General features: G+C 43.0%; 1 protein-coding gene across 9 annotated transcripts in view; it reads right to left on the bottom strand.

Moving 5' to 3' along the window:
* Positions 1 to 21,101, bottom strand: part of PRKCA (protein kinase C alpha) — a 508,131-nt gene that overhangs the window by 303,618 nt on the left and 183,412 nt on the right. For 8 of the 9 annotated variants that reach the window (XR_007065315.1, XR_007065317.1, XR_007065316.1 and 5 more), the window contains one exon: positions 10,843 to 10,925. Coding sequence is in view for 4 of the 9 variants with exons in the window: in NM_002737.3 (NP_002728.2) it covers positions 10,843 to 10,925 (83 nt within the window). In the remaining 5 variants the exon portion in view is untranslated. Of the gene's footprint in view, positions 1 to 10,842; positions 10,926 to 15,166; positions 15,254 to 21,101 lie in introns of those variants that run through there. The other variant, XM_017024837.2, reaches the window with a different exon arrangement.

Genomic DNA, 21,101 nt, shown 5'->3' with positions numbered 1-21,101 from the left:
CCTCCCATAATACCTCACACACAATAAATGCTCAAGAAACATTTAATGTTTACATACAATGAATAAATGCAAGAAAAACACCAGACACATAAGAGACGCTAAATACATGGTATCACAAAGATGTCACATCCTGTGCCGTGGATCTTCCAACTCTGGGCTTCCGAGAATTTGCACTCCTACAGCAGGCTCTCCAGACACCATTTCCAACAACAGTTCTCAGGGTCAGGTAATTTGGCTGTTTGTACATCACGAAATGTCTAGTATCACTGAGTCACTTGGATCGGTCAGAAAAAATAAACAAGGAATCCATCATACCAATTGTTGATCCCAACCAGTCAAAAGCTATTGCCTCACCCACTACTTCTTAAACTAAATTCCAAATAGTGAAGACTACACTTTGAAACAGTTACTGGGAAAAACAGAAAAGCCCATCAGGTGTGTTCCCCCACACCCCCAGCATCAGCCGTAATAATGATGCTGATGAGACGGCTACTCTTGGGTATTAAGGGAGTTCAGTAAAAGTCTCACGCACAGCTGTAAATATTCAAGTAATTCAAGACCGGATAAATACGACTGGTGATCAAGTTAGGTTATCAGACCTTCACCAACTCATTCTCTTTGGTTCAACGAATACTTTTTGAGTATCTAATTTGTGCCAGGCCCTGTATCAGGCACTCGGCTTTCAAAGAGAAAACACACAGGACCCTCTCACAAAGAATTCACTGTGTAAATATGATCATTAAGTAATATGACCTTTTTTTTTAATTTAAGAAATAGGGTCTCGCTATGTTGCCTAGGCCAGATCCCAAGTAAATAATTTTTTTTTTTTTTAGACGGGGTCTCACCGTGTCGCCCAGACTGCAATGCAGTGGCACGATGTCGGCTCACTGCAACCTCCGCCTCCAGGGTTTGAGCAATTCTCCTGCCTCAGCCTCCCAAGTAACCGGGAGAACAGGCACACACCACCATGCCTGGCTAAATTTTGTAATTTTAGTAGAGATGGAGTTTCACCATGTTGGCCAGGCTGGTCTCAAACCCCTGACCTCAGGTGATCCACCTGCCTTGACCTCCCAAAGTGCTGGGATTATAGGCATGAGCCACAGCGCCTGGCCTCCAAGTAAATAATTTTTAAAAAACCAAACATGCCCCAGGTGAAGCTGCTCACGCCTGTCTCCCCAGCTACGCAGGAGGATCACTTATGTCCAGGAGTTCAAGTCCAGCCTGGGCAACATAGCAAGTCTCACCTCTAAAATTCAAAATAAGTAAATAAATAAATAAGCATATTAAATAAAAGTGCCCCGGAGACATTATACAATGATTCAAACACACTCTCTATGGTTAATACACAAAGATCTGTTCCCAGACTTGATGTCAGAGGCATTTTATAAGTTTCACAACAAAATCACTCTAATTGATCATCTCACCTCTTTTTTGACCAAAAACAATTCTACCCACCTCAAAAGGCTCCCTTATTCTGACTGGGTTCCACTGGCCTGTTGTCTGCCTCCCGAGACAATCTCACCACCCTCTCAGAGGCTGACAACTCGGCAAGGGTAAGGATTTTGAAAAGGATGTACTACTGCCCGTCCAGGCCATTCAAAAGTGGAGTTCCAAAGATGGGAGGTAGGAACTACAACCTAGGGATTCAGCTGACAAGCCCCCAGGTGACTCCCTTGAAAACATGCCTTCCAAACACTGGTGAAAATGGGAGCATTTTCTTTGTAATTACGTCGCGCATTTTTTCCCAGCTAATCAGGTGCAGACAACGGGGCAAATACTCATCCCTCCCTCTTCCCTGTGGCCAGAGGTTGGTGGGTCAAGAGAATGGCCATGCCACCCACTCCCCCACTGTCTCCTTTTGCTCATCAGAACTACGGATGAGGATAGAAGTCTCGGAGGCTATTTTTAACTCCCGGCTAAATTAATTTGGTCCAAGTGCAGCAGGAGTCCCTTCCCTTGTAGGAAATACTTCTGTTACTGTGAATCTGGTACATAAAATAATCCACCCACTGAAGAGCAGAATTAGCACTGGAGTTTTTTTGTTGGGTGTGTTTCCCCGAAATAACTTCTTTTTAAGGTTTCCTGTGGCATCACAGCAAGTGAAGAAGGGTATCTGCGGGCAAGTGCCGAGGGTGGTTTCAGAAATGGACTCGGGCTTCCTCAGAGGCTCATGGGAGGGGGGTCCCGACAGGACATGCAGAACATTACAGGCTTCCCTCCTTGCACTCTTATGACAGGTCCACTGGCAAATATGTCACCTGAGTGTAGGCACTGCTGGATGGCAGCATTAGGCAAGAGACGTAACTCCCATGGGCCAACATGAGCAACAGAAAAACACTGATGGACTTATTTTCAAAGGAAAATGATGAAAAGAATTGAAATACATCTTGAAATGTCACCATCTTTATGAAGCTCTTCCTGCATTCTCCCATTAGATGCAGGCTGGCTCTCTCCCTGCTAAACTCAGCAGCATTTTATTTCTTCCCCACTTATGGCACCTACCCTGTGCAATCTTTTTTTTTTTTTCTTTTTTGAGGCAGAGTTTCACTCTTGTTGCCCAGGCTGGAGTGCAATGGTGCAATCTTGGCTCACTGCAACCTCTGCCTCCCAGGTTCAGGCAATTCTCCTGCCTCAGTCTCCCAAGTAGCTGGGATTACAGGTGTGTGCCACCACGTCCAGATAATTTTGTATTTTTAGTAGAGATGGGGTTTCACCATGTTGGTCAGCCTGGCTGGTCTTGAGCTCCTGACCTCAGGTGATCCACCTGCCTCGGCCTCCCAAAGTGCTGGGATTACAGGCGTGGGCCACTGCTAGTGGCCCACCCTGTGCAATCTTATAGTACAACTCTTTGCCTAATTGGTTTACCCTTGCAATTAGAGGATAATCCCTGCCTTGGGAGGGCAGGAACTCTCTTTACCTTTGTAACCTTCACAGTACAGGGCTATCAATCAATGTTTAATAACAGAGGGACTATAATGAAACTTGGGGCTGAAGGCAACTTTAAAGATCTCTAAATTCAACCTCCATATTTATACGTAAGAAAACAAAGGTCTAGAAAGGGCTTCAGTAATGTGGCCTGGCAGGACTCCCAATTCCCACTCCAGGACTCTCTGCACGATATACTCTGCTGAATTTTAAATGCAACTTTTTAGCTTCTGTACCTCATGCAAATCTAACTTTACCGTGTCAGTTCAGGAATATAAAAATGTTTTGGGGGTAGAACTGGCTTTGCTCACAAAATCATCTTTTTCTAAATTCAATGTTTAAAAGTACACTTCGAAAAAACAGAAGATTCACTGTTAAATTTATTTCTAGGTTTATTTTAAATGCTTTAAATTTTATTATAAATGAATCTTTGAAATGCTGAATTTTCAACATTTCAGCAGCCTTTTTTATCTGATCGGTTTCTAAGACACTGAAAAGGACTGGAGAAAGAGAGAATTCTCAAGATTGTAGTAAAGAAAAGAAAGCAATTTTGCTTTCTAGACATATAGTCCTCCACGGAGTCCAGTCTCACAGGGGATATCACTTTTGGTTTGTAGCAATTTGTGCAATAGGTTCCGTTTTTAGCTTTAAATGTTTACAGTCAGTGCGCTCAGCTTCTTCAAATAGATCAGTTTTATGATCTTCACTGACTTGAAGGTGTACCCAGGTCTGAAGCAAGCCTCCCTATCTTTTAACAAGTTAATTAATGTATTCATTTGGTCCCCTTCCAAACATTCTGGCAGGCTTCAGTGAACCTGTGACGTCACCGGTATACATGTTGGTTGTCTGCCAGGTGAGATAGAGCAATAACCTGCGAAGTCACCTGAATTCTGTTCAACGGGACGGTTCAAACATAAAACGTGCAAAATACTGTGGGAAAAGTTTCTCCCCAGAGAAGCCAGAGTCACTGGTAAAAACACATGGGGCAAATAAAAACATAATGGCTCAACAAAAACGCGAGGAAAGCTTACTACCTCCAGACGCTTGAAGCCTTTTAACAAATCCCTCTCCCACTCTCTCCCCCACCACCCCTTACTTTCTCAAATGTCCACATATCCAATGCACAGAGTAAACACTCTAAAGATTATGTGTAAACAGTTGCTTAGCATGTGTGTTATTTTATGGATGACACATAAAAACAGCTTCTCTTCTTACAACTTTTGACGAGAAAGCTGGGGGGCACGCTGGGCGCGGTGGCTCATGCCTGTAATCCCAGCACTTTGGGAGGCCAAGGCAGGCGGATCACGAGGTCCAGAGATCGAGGCCATCCTGGCTAACATGGTGAAACCCTGTCTCTACTAAAAATACAAAAAAAAAAATTAGCCAGGTGTGGTGGAATGCAACTGTAATCCCAGCTACTTGGGAGGCTAAGGCAGGAGAATGGCGTGAACCCAGGAGGCGGAGCTTGCAGTGAGCCGAGATCGCACCACTGCACTCCAACCTGGGCAACAGAGCGAGACTCGTCTCAAAAAAAAAGAAAGCTGCAGGGCAGGGGGAGTTGTACATTGTGGCCCTAAGAGCAGGACTGAGCTTGGTATTATTCTGTCAAAGTGCTGCTTTGTAGCTTTCTCACTTAAGACACACAGAGAAAATGAATTTTAAAAAGGGCCAGACACAGTGGCTCACACCTGTAATCCCAGCACTTTGGGAGGCCTAGGTGAGTGGATCACCTAAGGTCAGGAGTTCGAGACCAGCCTGGCCAACACGGTGAAACTCCGTCTCTACTAAAAATACAAAAATTAGCCGAGTGTGGTGGTGCATGCCCGTAGTCCCAGCTACTCAGGAGACTGAGACAAGAGAATCGCTTGAATCCGGGAGGTGGAGGCTGCAGTGAGCCAAGATCGCGCCACTGCACTCCAGCCTGGGAAACAGAGCGAGACTCTGTCTCAAGAAAAAAAAAAAATTAAAAAGGGCTTAATGTGCTAATAAACATACACACACAAATACATATCAATACATCCATGCACAGATGCATAATGGGAGGCCCCCAGACCCCATTCTTCCTCTTCATAGCAGGGTGGGCTTCATGAACAGACATAATCGAAAATGAATAGAAACTCTTCTAAGAACAGGGAGCTCCGCACTGATCAAGAAGACACTGGTGAGCTAAGGTTTTAAGAAGTGAGAGGAAGAAGTCTGGAAAGAGCCAGCCCTGCAGACCCCACACCACTAGCCCTTCCTGAATCTGCCCCACCCCATCATGGCCAGAGCAGCCCACGGAGGCAGGCAATCAATGGCAGCCAAAGAAGCATGGGCACTTGCTGCCCTTCAGCAGAGCAAAGCCAGGCTCACTACTCCCACTGCCCCAAAAACCACGGCTCTACTCTCGACTTCTACCTGCCCATGTCCGAGTCTGCATCTTAATTTGGTGGAGAAGGGGGAGAAGCCATTTCTAAACACAGAGCACTTTTGTCTTATTTTATGTTGTCTGATGAAACCTCGGATGCTGGAATGGGGTACTGGGCAGAGCCCCAAGCTGCATTCTAGGGCCACACACCTGGAAACATAAATCCTGCACCAATTCAAAGTGCCTTCCCAACACCAGGTAAGAAGACAGCTGCTGCTCATTCCATGAGCCACATACTTCAGCATCCAAGCCTGAGCCCCGGGTGCAAACACAGGCAGTACCAGGGAATGAGCTCACCGCTAACGTTGGTTCTCTTAAGTCTTCTGCTTTCATTCCTTCTCTACTCAGCGTGTATGGGGACGGACTTAAAGTCTAGGAATTGCTCAGCTTTTTGCTCTAGATTTGCTGGTACAGAATGCCATCTCATCCAGAAGGGGCAGAGGACCCTTGAGAAATTGGCCTGAGGATCTCCAGGGAGGGTCCTTCTGTGAACCCAGGAGCCTTTTCTCTGCCAAGATTCCCTGCACTAATGCATACTCTCAACTACGACTGCTCCTTGAGTCTTGAAGAGCATCTCTGTTCAAAAGAACTTTGTAATGTCTTCCCATCTGGCTACTGTAACCTGGGTACCGCTATTTTATTTCTCAGTACTTTTCCCATCCTTTCATCTTGAAGATGGCAGAGCAGGTACAATATTTGAGGATTTCACAAGGATTGTACCTTCTTTTTCCCCGTCTGTGAATGTGTTAGAGTCTGCCAAGCTCAACGAAGGTACTATTAAGCAGCACATGAACAGGACATCTTAACCATTCTCCATGGTACGAAAAAAAAAATCCTAATTTAAAATTTTTAAATTTTTCAGGGGAAAAATGCTTAGGGCAGTTTTTTTTCTCTTAAATTCTGATACTTCCCATTCTTTTCACTGGTCTTCCTCACTGAGCCTGCCAGCAGGCATTTTTTATTGGATTGATTTCTAAGACACTGAAAAGGACTGGAGGATAAGTTAATTCTCAAGATGGTAAAATAAGTCTGCTAGTTTTCCAAACACCTGACCAGAATTTTCAACAAATGCACCAAGGAATAGCTGTCAATGTGCTCCACTGGCAGCACAATCCAGTCAAGCCACCAACATCTTGTTTCTCTTCATGGCCAATTGCCTTGAAAGAATCAACCACAAGCCCACTGGATACTCAAGAGATAACATATGACAGTACCCCAGATCATTTTTGCCTTAGTTGTCTCCTCATCCACAAAGTAAGGTTAACCCAGATAAATCCTTAACACCCCTTCTGGCTCAATACTTCTGGGATTTGCAGAAAAATGGTATTCAGAAAAGGATAAAATAAGAAAATTCTAGCATCTCAGCTCAGTTCTACCTCCCAATGCCTTCATGATTTTCCAACTATCTCCCTGGTGCAGCACAGTTTGGCCACCTTGTACCTTCATAAGATTTGCTTGCAGATTTGCACAGTAAGTAAAATCATCCTGCATACAGCCAGTCAACACTTCTCAGGCCTTGGCTGCAGAAAGCCCTAGTCATAGGTCTCTTGCTCCAAAGACCAAAAATCAAATTTTCTCCTTTCTCTTCCAAGATCAAGGTGCCAGCAGATTCTGTATCTGGCACCAGCTGGGCTCTGCTTCCTGGATGGTGCCTTTTTGCTGTGTACTCACATGACAGAAGGGCTAAAAGGGGAAATGGAGGTAACAGCTCCCTTGTACCTCTCTAATAAGGGAGCTGGTCCCATTCAGGAAGGCTCCACCTCATGGCTGAATCACCTCCTAAAGGGCCCACCTCTTAATACAATCACGTTGGCAGTTAAGTTTCAGCATATGAATTTTCGGGGACATGGACCATTAGCAGACACATTCGGCATGAGATGTCTGACACTGGGAGTCAGTTGAGTATGGATGCAGGTGTGAATGCATGATCTTTTGGGTGAATGCATGATCTTTTGTGAACCAGGCAGGCAGGACTGCATTGAATATCTAATATACCTCTTTCTCTTTCACATTAAAAAAAATTCATCTAATCATCATTACTTTCAAGGATATTTTAAGTGTAAGACTCAGCATCTACAGAAAGTCAACACAAGATTAGGAGCAGGACATGGCTGGGCATCAGCTCACGGGTGTGTTTCCGTTATATTTCGCACCAAGCATATCTTTTCTAAAGCTTTTTACCTGGCTCCAGGCCCTATGAGTAGGATGACCCCATAATGATCAGCCAAACAAGATAAAAAATCTGAGCATGAAATGAGTTACCAAAAATAATTAACAGGCATCAATTGATCCATGGTGGGCATAAACAAAGACTTTCCCATGTAAATAAGATTGTCCTTTACAAACTGTATGTTACCTACTTATACGCAGTTTCAGCAACGTAGAGAATTCATAACAAACACAGAGATACGATCACAGTATTGGCCTATAGCCCCTTAGGAAATCATTCAATCAGCATCACACTCCCCTGGTTTTCTTCCTACTTTTCTGGCTGCCCCTTCTTGGTTTCCCTACCCTGATCTTCCTCTCCCATGCAACATGTTGGAGTTCCTTAGAGCTCTCTCCTGAGACCTAATCCCTTCTCTCCCCACTCTATACCCTCTCCCTAGGCAAAAATGATCCACATCCAAGGCATTAAAAAAAAATCATAGGAATCTTTATCTTTAGGACATACCCCACTTCTGACTGCCACACCTGCCTCCATACTCAACTGACTCCCAGCGTCAGGCATCTCACACTGAATGTGTCTGCTAATGGTCCATGTCCTGAAAATTCATATGCTGAAACTTAACCGCCAATGTGACTGTATTAAGAGATGAGCCCTTAAGGTTAAACTCTTTCCTGGGCCCCCAATGCTCCTAAGCCTGTGCCCAAAATCCTTGCCAGACACCCAACTCCCAGCTTTCTGTTTGTTATTGATTAAACTCCTTCCCATATCTTGGCATTCTCACTTGCTCTTCCCTTTGTCTGAAACAGCCTTTTCCAGGGCCCCATACAGCCCAGCATGCATGTGTGCACACATGCGCGTACGCACGCACACACACACCCTTCCTTTTGTCTGCCTATCTCCTACCCATTCGTCAAGCTCAGTTTAAATGCAGTATGTCCCTTAGAGAAACCTGCTCAGTGTACCTGTATCCTATTTGAATTAGTGATATTTTAATGTCTGCCTTCCCACAGCAGAATGTCCAGGAAGGCAAGGAGCATATCTCTGTACTTAGTGTTATACCCCAGGACTAAGCACAGACTTTGGCCCATTATGGGTTCTCAATAAAGAATACTCAACCAAAAGAATGAAAAAGTAGGAGGGGGAAGAAAAAGGAAGAGAAGGGAGTCAGACAAACTACTCACATCCTGAAGCCTGCCCATCCTCCCTTCCCATTCTTGATGGGGCAGAAATGGGAGGAGAGAGAAGAGAAGAGAGGAAAGAAAAATACAGCAAGATAAAGATGGGAATGATGAGCAAGGAAGTGAAAGGCTATGACATGAGGTTTTAGACAACTCCAAACAAGTGCAATGGGACTTGGCTTTTTGGAAAAGTTAGTACTTTACGTTCCAGCTATTTTTATCTCTAAAATGCCCCAAAGGAAGACAATATTCCAGAATATGCCAGAAGAGAAGTATGGAAAGTGGCCGGGGCAGGGGGCAGGAGGCGGGGAGCAGGGGGGAGGGCAGGGGAATGACACTAACTAGTTTTGTTTGTATGCAGGCAAGTCACTCAACGTTCATGGACTTGGGCTTCCTTGTCCATGAAGTTATAAAACAAGGTGACGCCTGAGCTTCCTCTGGCTCCCATGTCCTGTGAGCCTTTGTGGAACCCGTGTGTATGTGTATGTGGGCTCAGAGCCCACAACAGGCACTCTATCTTGCCTCCACAAGCACCCTAACCCCATTGTGCATGTTCCCGTGCACTGAACACCAAACAGTAACTTCCTTCTTACTTGTGTTACAACAACGCAAATCGGAATCCCTCAGAGCACACTGCAAAAATGTCATCTTTCGCAAAGGGAAGAATTTAGTCTTGCCTGCACTGAGATAGCCACTTTCAAATTAAAGTTTCCTGATGGGAACAGGCATTAAAGATGGGAATCGCTTCAAGCACACAATTTGAGTGACTAAACTGATCAAGCAAAAGCAATTCAGAACAGAAATGTCTACCCTTCTAAGCCTGCCTGACAATTTTTTTTATTCAGTTAAAATATTACTTTTCATATAACAGCTGAAGTTTCTCTCTATCCAACATATTTTAGACATTGGTATTTTCCGTGACTCCTTTGTGGATCCTTTTTTTTTTTTTGAGACGGAGTTTTGCTCTTGTTGCCCAGGTTGGAGTGCAGTGGTGCGATATCAGCTCACCACAACCTCTGCCTCGCGGGTTCAAATGAGTCTCCTGCCTTAGCCTCCTGAGGAGCTAGGATCTCAGGATGCGCCACCACGCCCAGCTAATTTTGTATTTTTAGTAGAGACAGGGTTTCTCCATGTTGGTCAGGCTGGTCTTGAACTCTCGACCTCAGGTGATCCGCCCGCCTCAGCCTTCCAAAGTGCTGGGATTACAGGCGTGAGCCACCGTGCCCGGCCTGTGGATCCCATTTTTAAGTACACAAGAGATGCAACAGAGACCATCAGAATTGTCCACAAAGAGAGGAAATTATGTGTTCACACATGGGCAACTTCAGAGATCACTGTTCAGTGAAACAGATGCTAAATTATTTCAATCAGCAGCAGCATTTTTAACATACACCGAAAAGGCAGCAAGAATCCCCTGGAGTAAACCAGGAGCAGTTTGTTACATTGGCCCAAAGCAATGATGCTCCTATTGGTTTATTTCAGCTTAGAAGTAAACTGAAGGGTGGCAGGGCCCAGTGGCTCACACCTGTAATCCCAGCACTTTGGGAGGCCAAGACGAGTGGATTGCTTGAGGTCAGGAGTTCAAGAACAGCCTGCCAACATGATGAAACCCCATCTCTACTAAAAATACAAAAATTAGCTGTGCGTGGTGGTGCACATCTATAGTGCCAGCTACTCAGGAGGCTGAGGCAGGAAAATCGCTTGAACCTGGAAGGCGGAGGTTGCAGTGAGCTGAGATCGTGCCACTGCACTCCAGCCTGGGCAACAGAGTGAGACTCCATCGAAGAGGACGGGAGGGGTGGGGAGGGGAGGGGAGGGAACGGAAATAAACTGAAGGGTGATAAATGTTCATTGTAAAATCTGTCAACAACTGCATTGTGTTTGTGAAAGCTATTACAATAAATTTGGTGGATTTAGTCAATGCAGCTGCCCAAAGTGGAACAGTACATGCTACCAAGAAATTCTCCTCTGAGAAATTCTCTAAGATGTAGTCCAGAGCTCATATGGGCTATAAATCTGCTCATTACTACAAGCCAACGCTCTATGAGAATTGAGTCTTCCCATTAACAGTAAGTGCCAAAACTAACAGTTGCACAGGCGTTAAAAAAATTAAAGCTCAGAAATCCACATTGACATCAAATCATGATTTCAGGACTACTTACATCAGTGTCGGGTCCCTTATCCGCACCCGGACAAGAAAAAGTAACAAATTCATGGCACCTCTTGTGGACCACAAAACAGCAAACTGGTAGAGAAAAAGGAAACTAAAATTAGAATAGACATGATTTAACATACGAGCTTTATTTTCCAAACAGAGATACTTGCTGTTAGAAGTCAATTTAATTTCACTACAGACAGAATCTTATAAACAGCAATCAGAAGGCATTTCATTCTAGAATCAGCAACATTTGGTATTGATTAGACTCATAGATAACAGAGTCCCAAAATGCCAGCACTGACAGGGCCACAAACTGTGGCTCTTACTCTCTGAAGTTGAGGGAGAGGAGAATCAGATTGTAAGACAGTTTCCCAAAGTAGAAACCGGGAAACAAAATTTAGAACATTTTGCACCATCCTAGCCGGGCACAGCGGTTCATGCCTGTAATCCAAGCACTTTGGGAGGCCGAGGCAGGTAGATCACTTGATGTCAGGAGTTCAAGAGCAGCCTGGCCAACATGGTAAAACCCCATCTCTACTAAAAATACACACACACACACATACACAAATTAGCTGGCCATAGTGATGGGCGCCTGTAATCCCAGCTACTCAGGAGGTTGAGGCAGGATAATCGCTTGAACGTGGGAGGTGGAGGTTGCAGTGAGCCAAGATCCATGCCACTGCACTCCAGACTGGGCAACAAGAGTGAAACTCCGTCTCAAAAAATAAAATAAAATAAAATAAAATAAAATAAAATAAAATACTTTGCACCATCCTATAGCAACACACTAACACACACATATAAATGTATATAAACATTGTATTCCGTGGTTGAAATAAAATATAAAGAGAATAACTGATTATAAATAATGTGAGTATCCCTAAATGTGGGTTGCAGGACTTCCTCAGCAACTTAATAAACTCATTCAGACACAAATGCAATCTACAGAAAACAGACCTTTGAAATGAATCAAAACAATCTTAGCAAACACCTTAACACCTTCCTATATCTGTCTTTTTGCTACAGATTCTGTCACCAGTTGGGAGAGTTCCTGCAAATTCAGCAAAATCTACTACCCAGTAAATATTTTCAAAGCTTAACATGGTTTTGATAAATAGTCCTAAGGATGAATCAACAAAATAACTGTTATAGAAAGTAATCCCCTAAGAGTTTTTTTTTTTTTTTTGAGACCGGGTCTCACTTTGTCACCGAGGCTGGAGTGCAGTGGGGTGATCTTGGCTCACTGCAGCCTCAACCTCCTGGGTTCAAGAAATCCTCCTGCCTCAGACTCCCAAGTAGCTGGGAATACAGGCAAGTGCCACCACACCCTGCTCATTTTTACATTTTTGTAGAGACACGGTTTCACCATGTTGGCCAGGCTAGTCTCGAACTCCTAAGCTCAAGCAATCTGTCCACCTTGGCTTCCCAAAGTGCTGGGATTGTAGGCGTTGAGCTACTGCACATGTCCCCCTGAAAGGTTTGTATTGATGGTAATAAGATAGAGGACGCAAAAAATAAATGACCTAGTCTCTCCTTGAAAGCTTGAAGTCTAGCTCCAAAAAGGCATCATCTACTACTCTTATCATTTGTTGAATAATAACAACATGTTAAAAAACAGTATACCCTCAGGAATACTAGGTTAGTCATAAGTCTTTACTGCATGCTGTGGTTTGATTTCATGTCAGCTGTGAAACCCATGTTGAAATTTGGTTGCCATGGTGGCAGTTTTGGGAGATGGGACCCTTGGGGGGTCACTCCACCATGAGGGCTTTGCCCTCAGGGGTAGAATTAATGTCATTACAAAAAGGTGAGTAGAGCCCCCTTTTGTCTCTTTGCCCTTCTGCCTTCTGCCACACGAGGACAAGGTCTTCCTCCCCCTGGGAGCATGCAGTAAACAGGCCCTTGCTCAATGCTGGCACCTTGATCTTCGACTTCCTGGCCTCTAGAACTGTAAGAAAACAAATTTATGTTCTTTACAAATTACCTAGTCTCAGGTATTCTGTTATAGCAGCAAAAATGAACTAAGACTCTGCACAAGGAAGGTTAGAGTTTCCCAAATGTGTGGCTCATACGCTATTTTCTCCTCTCACCAATGATAATACAGTTCCCTGCACATATGGCAGTAGATACAGAAGACCAAAGAGGGTGAGTCATTTCCGTAGGTGGAAGAGGGTGGCAGGATGGCTCAGAGCTGAAATCCCAAGAGGAGCCCAGAGTACTGAGAGGGCTGTGAGTGGCCAGTAAGAAATTCAGAATAGCCTAGGAAATCACTGAAAGGTTCTGAACAAAGAGTAACACAGACAAAAACAATGCTTTAGAAGTGCAAATGGTGGTAATAGGAAGAATTTAATAGAATAGATTGAGGCCTATAATGCCTCATTAGAAGCCTCTTGCATAGTCTAGGTATGAAAGTAATTGGCCATCATCATGCAGGCTGCTAAGAAATGGAAGTAACAGAGGCCAGGGAAATTACACAAGAACGATGAGACTTGCTGACTGACCACACAGCACCATTTACTGAGCATCTTATCACGTGCCAGGCTGTTGCTGTTGTTGTACTGGGTCCCTTCACATGCATTATTAGCAAATTGAATCCTCCTAACAATGCTCCTTAATATGCTGCAATATCTATATTTTATGGATGGGAAAATGCTGCCCAGATCCCCCAAATCTAGCATGCTGTACAGTGAATGCTTGTGAACGGGAGACAGGAAGGGAGGCAGGGAGGACAGACAGATGGATAGATGAATGAACCAACAAACAAAGGATGGTCTTTCCCAAGGCTGAGTCACCATGTGATGGAATCAGGATTCATGCTAAGAGTTGCTGGACACCACAGCCCCCCGTCCTTTCATCATGTCATATGCACTGGCAGGATTTCCAGAGCAGAAAGGGTAAAGAGCTGATGCCAAGATTTTTTACATGGGTAACAGGAAAATGGGTATATGACAAAATAGACATACACACACACACACACACACACACACACAAATATACCTACATAGACATACACATATACACATATATACAACTCAGAGGATGAAGATACAGTATATTAGGGAAATAGAATCATGGATAATTCTTTTTAAAGGGTTTTCTTTTAAGGTAATCATAATATAATGTGATTGTAAAAATACACATTTTAAAGGTACTCATGATACCATGTCACTGTAAAAATATACATTTTAAAAAAGAAAATGCATGCCTGGCATTGAGCAGACAAAGAGCCAGATAACCAAACAGGAACCATCCACAGAAAGGTGACAAGTGGAGAGCTCTTAAAGCAAGCATCCCTTTAGAGGGGGAGGTGCCCTGGGTGAGGGATCCTGCTGGCTGCCCAGCACGCTGGCCACACCTGTCTGCCCTGCACAGTCAGGGGCAGGAGGAGGTGAGTGTGAATCGAAGAAAACAGCCCTCTTGGCTGCCCAGGCAGCACAGAGACACTCAAAGGGCAGTGCTTAGCTCCTACAAGCCCTGAGAGAAGTGGCCTTTCTCCACTGTGTTTCTGCTAAAAGCATCTTGATTGCAAAACTCTCGAAGGACGGATAATAAAGCCGTGCTGTGATGGCACAAATTAATCTGATCTGCTCTCTCTCCCCAGGCACACAGTCATCTTTCATCCACTGGAATAAGAAAGATAAATTACCAAAGGAAAAAGGTTACAGGGGCATTACTTCCTCATCACGGTTTATTACAGATGTAGTGTTTTGGTTGGAAAATAAGCATTCCTATTCCCTACTTAATCGTTCAAACATTTGGGCCTTTCATCTCTTTTTAAAAAAAACCATCTCCACATTCAGTGAACACTGTTAAGAAAACTCACACTTATCAAATCCCATGGAAGAATAGTTTGCTTTTTGTACCTGTTCTTTCTGTCTATGATTTGCAGGTCAATGCAATTATGTATCTACAGCTGGAAGTATTTCTATTGCACACCTCAAAAAAACTCATGCCGAATGTTATCCTAAGAAGACCCGGGCCCTCATTATCCAGCACAATTTGCAGAGGCAGCAAAAAGCTTTACCTATCCCAAAATAATTTCCTCCCAACCTGCCTTAACTACCCCCTCCCCACCTACCTTACACGAAAGCTTCCCATTTGAAGGACTGGATTCACCCTATGAGAGGCAGACAGAAAGGCCATGTGTTTCCAGACAGCCACTCATAGACACGTTATCTGAGGGATAAAGAGCCCTCTAAGCCTACTTGAAGATTCGAAATTCAGAATGGATGATCTCCAAAGGAAGAAGAAACAGAATGTGCCCAATCCTGGGTGACTAAGGAGAAAAAGTGTAGATGCCCCCTCTCCTCCCCAACACCCCCACTTACCGTGAGGGGAACAGGAAAGAGGAGCTTGGAGGTTGGCCGACGCTGGCTGCATGCAGCATGTGCCTGGGAAAGGCTGCCCCAGAAAACTGAGCAACAGCCAGAGGTTCCAAAAATCAGAGATGGCTGGCCTTGATCTTTGGGTCCAAGTTCCAAACTAAATTGGGTAATGCATATTTTGTAAGATAATCTAATGAAGACATTTGAGAAGTCTTGCTAGCATTGTTGAAAGAGGAAAAGACTGGCTCAATAAAACAAAAGGATGCATTAGGTTTGCCTGGAGATGGACATCATAGGGTTTCCCCTGGCTAAAAATCAGGAGCTATTGTTTTTTGTCTTTTTTTAATTTGGGGCTCTAAAGGAATTCATCTCACCATGGTATATGAAGCAAAGGAAATTGGAGTAAAGAGGTAATAAGGTGGTACCTGTTACATAGCAAACCTTCAACAAACATCTGCCTGACCTTGGTAGAAGGAAGGCAACTTAAAGACAACAGCCACTCAGCTGGAAGGAAGTGGAGACGTGTCATGGAAGATTCCATCTGATGATTGTCGTGGGGGCCCCCCTTGGCCCTTAAACAAGTCTTTGCTCAAGCAAGCATAGGCTATCCAACAAAAACTCACTCAGAGATGGTGCCTCATCTTCAAAGACTTTGGTCACCTCTGGTTATATAACCCAATGAGAGGTTTTAAAACAGGATGCTATCCTGCAGCTTCCAGTCACAAAGTAAATCTTCATTCAATTATTTTCTAAGCACAAAATCACTTTCTCTAATCCTCTATGTGATATTTGTCTGCTCCCCAGCAGTGACGGACGACACTGGAAATGCACAAATCACACTGAGCAAATGACATGGTGGGACAAAAAAATAATAAAGACCACAGACTTGGCCAAATAACAAATCTTGACATTGCCTGGCTTTAAAACTGAGAACACCCAATCTTGTGATCCATATTCCTTGCTAATCTTGCTTATGGAAGTAAACTAGATGGAAATTAAGGAGAGTTTTCACCACTTGTCGAAAGTATATTTCAGAAACAGAACAAATAACAGTCACCTGTGTTTGGCTCAAGAATTCATACAGCCAGGAGCGGTGGGTCACACCTGTAATCCCTGCACTTTGGGAGTCTGAGGTGGGCAGATCACTTGAGGTCAGGAGTTCAAAACCACCCTGGCCAATATGGCAAAACCACGTCTCTACTAAAAATACAAAAATTAGCAAGGCATAGTGGCTTGTGCCTGTAATCCCAGCTACCTGGGAGGCTGAGGCAGGAGAATTGCTTGAATCTGGGAGGCAGAGGTTGCAGTGAGCTGAGATCACACCACTGCACTCCAGTCCAGCCTGGGTGACAGAGCAAGACTCCGTCTCAAAAAAAACAAAAAGAAAACAGGAGATCGAGATCATCCTGGCTAACACGGTGAAACCCCGTCTCTACTAAAAAATACAAAAAATTAGCCGGGCATGGTGGTGGGCACCTGTAATCCCAACTACTTGGGAGGCTGAGGCAGAAAAATCGCTTGAACCCAGGAGGCGGAGGTTGCAGTGAGCTGAGATCCTGCCATTGCACTCCAGCATGGGTAGCAAGAGCAAAACTCCATCTCAAAAAAAAAAAAAAAGAGTTCTGGAAATGGATGGTAGTGATGGTCGTCTAACACTGGGAAGGTACTTAATGCCACTGACATGTACATTTAAAATGGTTAAAATGGTAAATCTTATACATAACCTACTATAAAAATTTTTAACTTATCAACCTAGAGCAATATTTATGAAATTATAAATAAGAGGAATAGGAAGAGGCAGTAAGAACCTTGCTTATATAGACTTTTTATGATTACTTGTGTTCATAATTGAGTTCATTATGACATCAAGAAAGAGTATTTGGGCTGGGTGTGGTTGCTCACACCTGTAATCCTAGCACTTTGGGAGGCCAAGACAGGCAGATCACTTGAGGTCAAGAGTTTGAGACCAGCCTGGCCAACATGGTGAAACCCTGTCTCTACTAAAATTACAAAAATTAGCTGGGTGTGGTGTTGCATGCCTGTAATCCCAGCTACTTGGGTGGCTGAGGCAGGAGGACGGCTTGAACTCAGGAGGTGGAGGTTGCAGTGAGCTGAGATCACGCCACTGTACCCCAGCCTGGGTGACAGAGTGAGACCCTGTCTCAAGAAAGAAAAAAAAAAGGAAAGAAAGGAATTAAAGGGAAAGGGAAAGGAAGGAAGGAAAAGAAAGAAAGAAAAGAAAGGATGAAAGAAAGAATGAATTTGCTTCCATTCTATAAAATTCTAAATAAAATCAGTGCTGGCATAAAGTGGAGACAAAGGGAAAATTCAGATTTGAGAGCAAAGGACTCATATAATCTTTAAGGATTGGAGACGTGTTCCTTGCACCCTCCCTGCTCGCTTGAGCACATAGTTGTCAATAATGATGGTGGAAGTGAGGCCCCTCAGGCTGCAGGCTTGGCTTTCCTGCCAAACTACTGAGATATTTGGTCACTTAATCTATATGCAAAATGGGTTCATCCCTATTTACATCTAACACGGATTGCTATATTCATTGAGGGGGGAAATATATATATATATATATATATATATATATATATATATATATATGCACTGCTAAGGGTCATTTTCCATTTCTCCTTTAAAAAATAATTTCCTTTCCTTTCACCCTCAAGTCCATGTCATTTTAAATTCAGGTCACAGTCATGTAAAACGGAACACAGGCATAGAAATTCCCTATTATCCAAAATTAATGAAGAAAAAGCCATTATGTAACATATTCTGAATTCTGGAAAGAACCTACTAAATATAATAGACTTTGCTTAGAAGAGAAGACTGGTAGCTGAGCTTCCTTGAATTCTTTTTTTTAAATACAAAAATGGTTGCCATCACGTGATATGGTTCTAATTAAATTTTGCTTAGCTGGAAGGGATTAATGAAAGGCAACGTCACAGCAGAATATAATGAAAGGAAAATCTCTAAGGCAAGTCAACCGCTTTCAGCTTTGTAGGGAAAGTAATGAAAAAGTGAGCTTATATTATATCTGCATGTTAAAAGAAAATTATTGGTTTCAGATTTGTAACAATGAAAACAGTCTTCTCCTGGGATACACATTAAAAGTTGTATGAAAACAAATCAAATAAATGCACTCTATCACATATTATAAAGAATGTCATTCTTCAGACAGCACCTTGATTCTTCCTTTCAGCATCTGTGCACGTGCTCCCAATGAACTCTTTCAAAAATCCAGTATTCCCAATTCTAAGCAGGCAAGCCTCTTTCCCCCTTCTTTAGGAGATTCATCTTTAATTCTTCCCTTGCCTTCTTTTTCTCTAATTTCAACAAAGACTACTGAGCATCTTTTGTGCATTCCTTCCTGGTTGGACCTGAGATATACTTTGAAGACAGGGCTGAGATTGAATGTGGGATGTGAAGGAAAGGCGAGTCAAGAACGGCCCCAAGCTCCCGGCCAGAGCAACTGAGTAAATGGTGTTAGCACTCTGCAACCAAGAGGTGAGCCTTATGATGAAACTGAGAGTACAGAAGACTCAGAGGAGAAAGAAAGAAACCAGATCTTGGCGTCAGCAAGGCTATCACCTTCAGACTGTTCAGTCACACGAACCATTAAATACCCTTTAAAAATGTCATTTTCTTCATTTACATACCATATAATTTAATACACTTGAATCCACAAAGTCATATCATACACGCTTTTATTGTTCACGCCAGTTTGAATGAGTTTTCTGTACTTTCCACAGAAAGAATTCTAAATACTAAAGGGTAAATTGGCAGGTTGTAGAAAATGAACAGAGAAGACCAAGGGGCAAGTTAAGAATTAACTTGGACTTGGGGACTTGCAATCTGAGTATTATACGAGCTCAAAGAGGAGAAACTACTCTTCATGTTGTTTAAACAGGGGTTTTATGCTACAGGGCATTATGGTCTGGACAAAATTTTGGGGTAAGACCTCAAAAGCACAGACAACAAAAGCAAAAACAGACAAATGGGATTATATCAAGCTAAGAAGCTTCTGTGCAGCAAAGGAAACAAAGTGAAGAAACAACCTACAGAATTGGAAAAAATATTCTCAAACTCTTCACTCAACAATTTTAAAATGGGCAAAAGACCTGAATAGACATTTCTCAAAAGATGACAAACAAATGGCCAACAGGTAGGAGAAAAAATGTTCATCACCACTAATTATGAAGGAAATGCAAACGAAAATCACAGTAACATCCCACCACAGTTAGAATGGCTATTATCAAAAGGACAAAAAAGAACAGATACTGGTGGGGATGCAGAGAAAAGGGAAGGCAGGGATGCTGCTGGTGGGAATGTAAAGTGGTAGAGCCACTACAGAAAGCACTATGGACTCTCCCAAACAACTAAACACAGAGCTACCATAAGATCCGCCAATCCCACTGCTGCGTATACATCAGAAAGAAGGGAAATCAGTCTACCGATGAGACATCTGTAATCCCATATTCACTGCAGCACCACTCACAATAACCAAGATACAGAATCAACCTAATGCCCATCAACAGATGAATGGATAAGGAAGACGTAGTATGTCTACAAAATGGAGTATTATTCAACCATAAAAAAGAATGAAATCCTATCATTTGCAGCAACATGAAAAGAACTGGAGGTCATTATGTGACATGACATAAGCCAGGCACAGGAAGACAAACATCATATGCTCTCACTCATATGTGGGAGCTAAAAAAGTAGATCTCACAGAGGTAACGAGTAGAGGCTGGGAAGAAAAAAGAGGAGAAAGGGATGAAGACCAGTTAGTTAACAGGCTCAAAAATGCAGTTAGACAGAAGGAATAAGTTCTAGTAATCGATAGCACAGCAGGGAAATTATAGTTAATAACTTACTGTATATTTCAAAATAGCTAGAAGAAAAGATCTGTAATGTTCCCAACACAAAAGATAAATGTTTGAGATGATGAATATTTCAGTTGCCCTGATTTTATCATTACACATTGTATGTAGATACATAATAGTTGTACATATTTTGGGGGTGCATCTGATATTCTGATACCTGTGCACACGCTGCCAAAGAACTCTTTGGATGGTATTTTGATATCTGCATCAAAATATCAGATGTACCCCCAAAATATGTACAACTATTATATATCAATAAAACATAATGAAACAATAAACAGGGGTCTCAATTTGAGAAAAGTATAATATACTGTTAGGCCACCCAGATAGATGTGTCAGACAAGCAGGTGGAGATTCAAGGTTAGAGGCCAAAAGACAACGGGGGACTGTGGACCAAGCCATGAGAGATGTCTTCATGGTGAGGGAGAACTGCAAGGCGAGTCCTGGAAACACCCAAGTGTTGTGGTTGATGGTAGAAAGGACGAGGCTGTCTGAGGGGTGGGAAGAGTCAGAAGAGAGCCTGGGGGCTGGAGAGGGTTGAGGGAAGAAAAATCTCAAGAACAGTCCGGCAATCACCAGTATAAAAGACTCCTTCCAGAGCCAAGGAGAAAAGATAAGAATGGGATGTGGTCATTACTCGCCCATGATGGCCCAGAAGCCACACACTTAGAAGGATGCAGATGATGACAGCGACACGTTTGCCAACAGATAAACAGTCTCCTTCTTTTATTATTTCAACTTATTCCCATATTCAACTCAGAACTACAATGAAATAGATTTTTCTCATATTGACTAAGAATATGCATGAATGAAATCTTGAGTACCTGTAGCATTAAATGGTAACTGCTTTATGTAAACAACAACAACAACAAAACTCTTAAAGATAAGTATATGACAAATCACGCAAAAATATTTAAAGAGAAACCCAAAGGTTAGCTTTTGAAAACTCAGATCAAGCAGTGTTTGGGGGTTGATTTCAGAATCAACTGATGAGTCCAACTTTCCTTTAATCTCTTAAGGGCATAAAGCCTTCCTCACTTGGCAGT

This window comes from Homo sapiens, chromosome 17 (assembly GCF_000001405.40).
Source record: "Homo sapiens chromosome 17, GRCh38.p14 Primary Assembly".
In the NCBI taxonomy this organism is placed as follows: domain Eukaryota; kingdom Metazoa; phylum Chordata; class Mammalia; order Primates; family Hominidae; genus Homo; species Homo sapiens.
This window is presented reverse-complemented; position numbering and strand designations above follow the sequence as displayed.